Source organism: Homo sapiens, chromosome 1, assembly GCF_000001405.40.
Source record: "Homo sapiens chromosome 1, GRCh38.p14 Primary Assembly".
Taxonomy (NCBI): Eukaryota; Metazoa; Chordata; class Mammalia; order Primates; family Hominidae; genus Homo; species Homo sapiens.
This window is the reverse complement of record NC_000001.11, coordinates 18,960,244-18,966,262: the sequence shown is the minus strand read 5'-3', so window position 1 is coordinate 18,966,262 and position 6,019 is coordinate 18,960,244. Positions and strand designations below refer to the sequence as shown.

Here is a 6,019-nt window from a genome sequence, read left to right as displayed (position 1 = left end):
TTAGTCAATCTCCTGTTGATGGCACTCGGTGATTCCCATAATCTGTTCTGGGTAGGGCTGGAAAGTGCTGGGCAGGTGTAGACCAAGGAAGCCTCCCACCGGCGGAGGCCTCTGCAGTTACAAATCAGCCATCAGGGATGTCACCAGGCTGACACAGTGACTTCTGGCTGGCAAGTAATTTTGAAGTTGTGTTAAGGACAATTAGGGAGACATTCCTGTCGTGGGGCTGGGATGAGCTCAGCCGCATTCCTCCTTTTCATAGCGTTGGACGGGGCAGTCCTCCGGGAAGAAGGCCTTTTGACTCACCCTTTCCTTTCAGTCACCTCCCAGGAGGTGTCTCCATTGCTGCGACTTCTGTTTCAGCAGAAATAAGATGATGAAACTTCAGGGGACCTGCCCTGATTCCCTTGGAGGGTTTTCCCTGACACGTGAGAGAGTCATTTGTAAACCAGCAGTCAGAGGTGAGGTAAGTGGGGATTTACCGGGCTCGCCTTCAGCAAGCTGGTGGAGAAGACAGGAGGGACCCCCAGGGCAAGGATGCCCTTGTCCTCCTTTGCCCTGGGGTTTGTGGAACTCCCAGGGTCTCCCTGGCAACAACCCACTTATCCTGGTCCTGCATTCAGCTGTGGATTCATCCATTGCCCTGAGGCTGGTGTGGACATTGCAGTCTCTAGGCAGGACCTGGCTTACTATTTTGGACCTATGATGTCCAGGCCCTGGAATCTTCCCTCGGCCAGGGAGCTTCTCCTCTCCAAGCCTCAGCGTCTCCATGTGTAAGATGGGAATGATGGGCCTTCCTGAAATTGATGAGGTTAGGATGGAATGAAATGATGCATGTGAAGCCTCCATCTGATGCCTGGCACTCGATTTGATGTCTAGGTGCTCCATAAACCACTGCCGTTAGAACTGGTCCGAGCAGGGTGAGGTGAGGATGAATGAGAGATGGTGTGTGGAGCAATGAGAAGGAGCTCAGGGGTGTTGGTTCCTGAGGTCAGGGAGTCATCTCTTTGGACAGAGATAGATGCATCGATTCACACTGTTGGGCACTTTACAGTGCTTTCCCATGATGATAAGAATGAGGCAGGAGAGGCCGTCTCTGCTGAGAGAGGGCTGCAGGCTCTGGAGTGGCCTCAGAGAGTCATCCTGATGCAGCACTTGCCCTCTGCCAGGCATCCTTCCAAGGACTTGGACAGCATTTCATTTAGCCCTCACCAAAACCCTAAGGGGCAGAGGTGCCTTTCCTATTTTATAGATGGGGAAACTGAGGCTGGGAGAGGCCTCTGGAAGAAGCTGTCTTGTTAAGCATTGGGCTTTAAATTAATTAGGGGCTGGGCACTGTGGCTCATGCCTGTAACCCAGCACTTTGGGAGGCCGAGGTGGGCGGATCACTTGAGGTTAGAAGTACGAGCCCAGCCTGGCCAACATGGCAAAACCCCGTCTCCACTAAAAATACAAAATTTAGCTGGGCAGGGTGGTGCACACCTGTAGTCCCAGCTGCTTGGAAGGTGTGAGAATTGTTTAAACCAGGGAGGCGGAGGTTGCAGTGAGCCGAGATTGTGCCACTGCCCTCCAGCCTGGGCGACAGAGCGAGTAAGACTGACTCAAAAAAATAAATAAATAAATAAATTAGGGCACATCAAAGACAGGGGTACTGTGTCCTCAGGGCAGGACTTCTGGCTGTAGAGAGAAGAGTCAGAAGGTGAGTGCTTGGGGCTGGGGCCATAGGGTCTGGCTTCTCCCTCCGGAAGGAGCTGTGAGTCGGGCAGATAGTGTCCTTCCCTCCCTCAATGAGCCCTCCCTTCCTGAGATGGGGAAGACAGTGAACTGGTGGAAATGCTACAGAGAAATGAATGCTTACAATGGAGAAGAACAGGAGGTCCCTACCCTGGGTTACGGGGTGTGGGGTGGCTTCTAGGAAAAAGTGCTGCCCTCACCTTCACCAGAAAGTCTAACATAAAAGGGACTGACTTATTAAATGTTAGCTGGGAGGTGGAGCAATCAGAACCCTCATGCATTGCCGGTGGGGAGGTAAAATTGCATGGCTACTTGAAAATCTGTTTGGCAGTATTTGCCAATGTTAAAAATGTGCGTCCCCTGTGACACAGCAATCCTGCCCCTGGGGCGAGTCCCAAGACGAACAAGTACTGTGTTCACCAAAAGACATATATGAGAAGGTTCCAGCTTGACTCCTAGTAGCCCCAAACTAAGAAACAGCCCAAATCAGCAGTAGAATGGATAAATAAATGGTGATGCTCACACCATCTAACTTTATGTAGCAGAGAAAAAGAGCAAAACACAACACACAACTAAATGGATGAAGCAAAACACAACACACAACTAAATGGATGAATCTCATACACGTAGGGTTGAACAAAAGAAGCCAAAACTAGACCGTATGATTCCATTTAATGAAGCCTAGAAAGGAATCTGGGGAAAGAAAAGTCAGCACCTGGTTACCTTTGGGAAGTATCAACTGAGAAGGAGCATGAAGGGACCTTCTGGTGTGTGGGAAATGACCTGGTGAGCTCATCGGGGGTGCATATGTAGGAATTCATAGAGCTCTACGATTAGTATTTGTGCACTCTACCTATATACGCACCTCTATGCAAAGTCAAAACAAGACAACAAAAGAGAAGGAGAAGGGCTCCCAAAGCTAAGTTCTGGCCAATAAGCAAGGGCCAGCCAGTGAGGAGGGGGATGGTGTCTTGGAGGAGAAGCCAGAAGGTGCAAAGACCCAGGGGCCCGAGTGTGTGGTGTTGCTTCTCTGCCTGGTTCCAGGGTTGCCGATGGTGCTCCTGTCCTTCTCTTCTCTATGCCCCCTTCCACTCATTTGGAGGTTTCCACTGACACAGTGAACTAGGTTGACAGAAGTCATTTCAAAACACGCTCCTCCAGTCCATGTTTAATGTTCTACTTTTGAGTTGTTGAGGGAGGAGCTACAGTCAGAGCAGGAGAGGGGCTGGCCTTGGAATTCAAAGCTGGATTCAAAGCTTAGCTATGCCATGAACTGTGTGTTCTTGGAGAAGCCCTTTCTCCCCTATGAGCCTCAGTTTCCCCATCAGTAAGAAGGTCTTCTTAACATACAGAGTTTTAGTGAGAGAGTTGGCTGCAGGAGGTGTTCAACAGGTGCCCATCATATGGGAATGAGGGAATAAGGTCTGAAGGCAAGGGCCCCATGCCAGGCCCAGGGCTCCCCCTAAAGTGATTGAGTGTGGCCCTGATAAGGCCTCTGCAAACCCCGGCATTGATCATCTGTCACATAGAACTTAAACCACCACCTCAAACAGTGCCTGGCACATACCAGGGATTCAAGAAGCATTGGGTTATAATAGCTAGTGCCTAATATGTGCCAGGCATTGCTCCAAATGTGTCATACCTGTGGACTTCTGTTTTGATCCTCCCAGCAGACCTATGGATGTCTACCTTCCCGTTTTACAGAGGGGAAACTGAGGCACAGAGCGTTTGAGTGACTTGCTCAAAATCACTCTGTTAATATTTGATGGAGCCTGGCCCTCGTCCCCTGTACCTAACGACACTACCACACGGCCAGAACAGATGAGGCCGCCTAAGCTGCCTCTACCGGGAGGCCTGGAGAAGGTGCCAAAGGCAACCAGGGCTCCCCCAGGGCTGCTGACCAAGATCAGTGCTGTCAGGGCAGCCAGGGGGACACTCCAATGCCCTGACTTTGGCAAAATCCACGCCCTTTTTGAGGAAGGCAAACCCACCCAGAATAATTGTTGAGCCAACAAGCAGCTTAAGCCGCTCATAAGCCCTGAGGTGCCTGTGAAGGCTGAGGCCCAGCAATGAGCTGCCACTGCCAAAACCAGTAAGAGTCACTGTTTTTGCCAAGCTTTTTTTTTTTTTTTTTTCTTAGCTGTTGTCATTGTTTTTTGGGAGGAGAGATGGGACATCTCAGGAATTCGCCTGTGCTGCTGAATTCTCACGTGCAGCCTCATGTGGACTCACAGCCACTCCCTATCCTCTGTACCATCATGTTTTACTGTTCTCTTTAATTCCACCATGAAGAGACTTGATAGGAATGTTCTGGAAACTGCAGCCTAGGGGTGGGGACGGGGGATGCGAGGAGTGGGGAGCAGTTTATTCTCCCTGGCAGCAGGACTGAACTTTGGTGCCAGAGGGCCACTGGGTGTGAGACTGTGGGAGATGTTTGTTTTTTTCCTGCCTCTTTATACATTTTATGGGCTTTCCATATTTGCTTAAGCAAAAAAGTTAAAAAATGACAATGATAATAGTTAACATTTATTGAGCATTGCTGGCATCGATTGAGCATTTATCGAACATACTGACTTTCCATGTATGAACTCACTTAACCCTTACAACCACCTTTTTTTTTTTTTTTTTTGGAGGCAGTCTCACTCTGTCACCCAGGCTGGAGTGCAGTGGCAAGATTATAGCTCATTGCAGACTCTACCTCCCAGGCTTACATGATCCTCCCACCTCAGCCTCCCAAGTAGCTAGGACCCCATAGGCATGTGCCACCATGCTCAGCTAATTTTTAAAAAATTTTTTTTGTAGAGATGGGGTCTCACTACGTTGCCCAGGCTGGACTCGAACTCCTGGGCTCAAGCGATCCTCCCACTTCGGCCTCCCAAAGTCCTGGGATTATAGGTGTGAGCCACTGCACCAGGTCAGATATTCTTTTTTTTATACCAGGTCTCACTCTCACCCAGGCTGGCCTGGAGTGTAGTGGTGCAATCTTGGCCTCTGGGGGTTCAAGTGATTCTTGTGCCTCAGCCTCCTGAGTAGCTGGGACTACAGGCACATGCCACCATGCCCAGCTAATTTTTTTGCATTTTTACTAGAGACGGTGTTAAGCCTTTGGCCAGGCTGGTCTCAAACTCCTGGTCTCAAGTGATCCACTCGCTTCGGTCTCCCAAAGTGTTGGGATTACAGGTGTGAGCCACTGCACCTGGCCCCAGGTCAGATAGTCCTATAGTCTTATTTCCAGATGAAGAACTGAGTACAGAAAAGGAAAAATTAAAACTATTGAAATTTAAAAAGAGATCATTTATAAAGAGGAACAAACTACTGATACATGCTACCACATGGATGAGCCTCAAAGACATTGTGCTCAATGAAAGTGGCCAGACACAAGAGATCACATATTGTAAAATGTCATTTATCTGATATATGTAGAAAAGGCAACTCCATAGAGACAGATCCCAGATTAGCGGTTGTCTGGGGCAGGGGGTAGGAGTGGGGATGATGAAATATTCTAAAACTGGTTTATAGCGTTGTTTGCACAACTTGGTAAATTTATTAAAAACCATTGACATGGGTGAATTACATAATATGTAAAATATTCCTCAATAAAGTAAAAAAAAGAAATGCAATTACGTTCTGCAAATATAACATTTCCTAAGCAGCCATGATCCACTTTACAGGAATTTCTCCAGTAACTAACAGCTCATTCATTTGTTCACCTGAACTCATCTTTGTTGAGCACCTATTATGTGCCAGGTACCATGCCAGGATATGGGTTCCAGGGTGAATCTGATCAAGTGCTTCTGCTCTAATAGAGAATATGGGTTAGCAAGTGTTAGAAGGCTGGGCTAGAAGGGGTGGAGATGCAGATGAGAAATCCAGCAATGACAAGAGCGTATACTTGGGGCTGCCACAGGGTGGGCAGTGCTGGCAGAGCCTGGAGGAAGCACCCTCCACCCAGACCTGGCAGGTACTTGAGAAGGTTCCGAGAAGAGAAGTTTCCGAGAAGAGAAGGTTCCGTGCTTGAGGCTGGGACCTGAAGGATGAGGAGTTGTTAGCAGGTGAAATGGCTGGGGAGTGGGGCAGGAAGAATAAAAGTCATTTTCTCATTCATTTCTTAATTCTTTTATTCATTCATTCAGCAACTGTTCATTGAGAGCAGTTATGCCCATTTCCCTGATGAGGAAATAGAGCCTCAGAGAGGTAAAGTGACTTAGATACAAACCTTAGCCAATCTCTTGTCTTAAAAGCCCACCTTTTTCCACTCCCCACTCTTGCCTCCAAAAACAGTCTG

General features: G+C 48.5%; 1 annotated feature.

Annotated features, from left to right (window-relative positions):
• Window positions 291-450: an enhancer, noted in NCBI's record as "active region_293". NCBI's record gives its function as "activates an Ori minimal core promoter by ATAC-STARR-seq in GM12878 lymphoblastoid cells {active_cell/tissue: GM12878}" and the evidence as "EXISTENCE:reporter gene assay evidence [ECO:0000049][PMID:35858748]".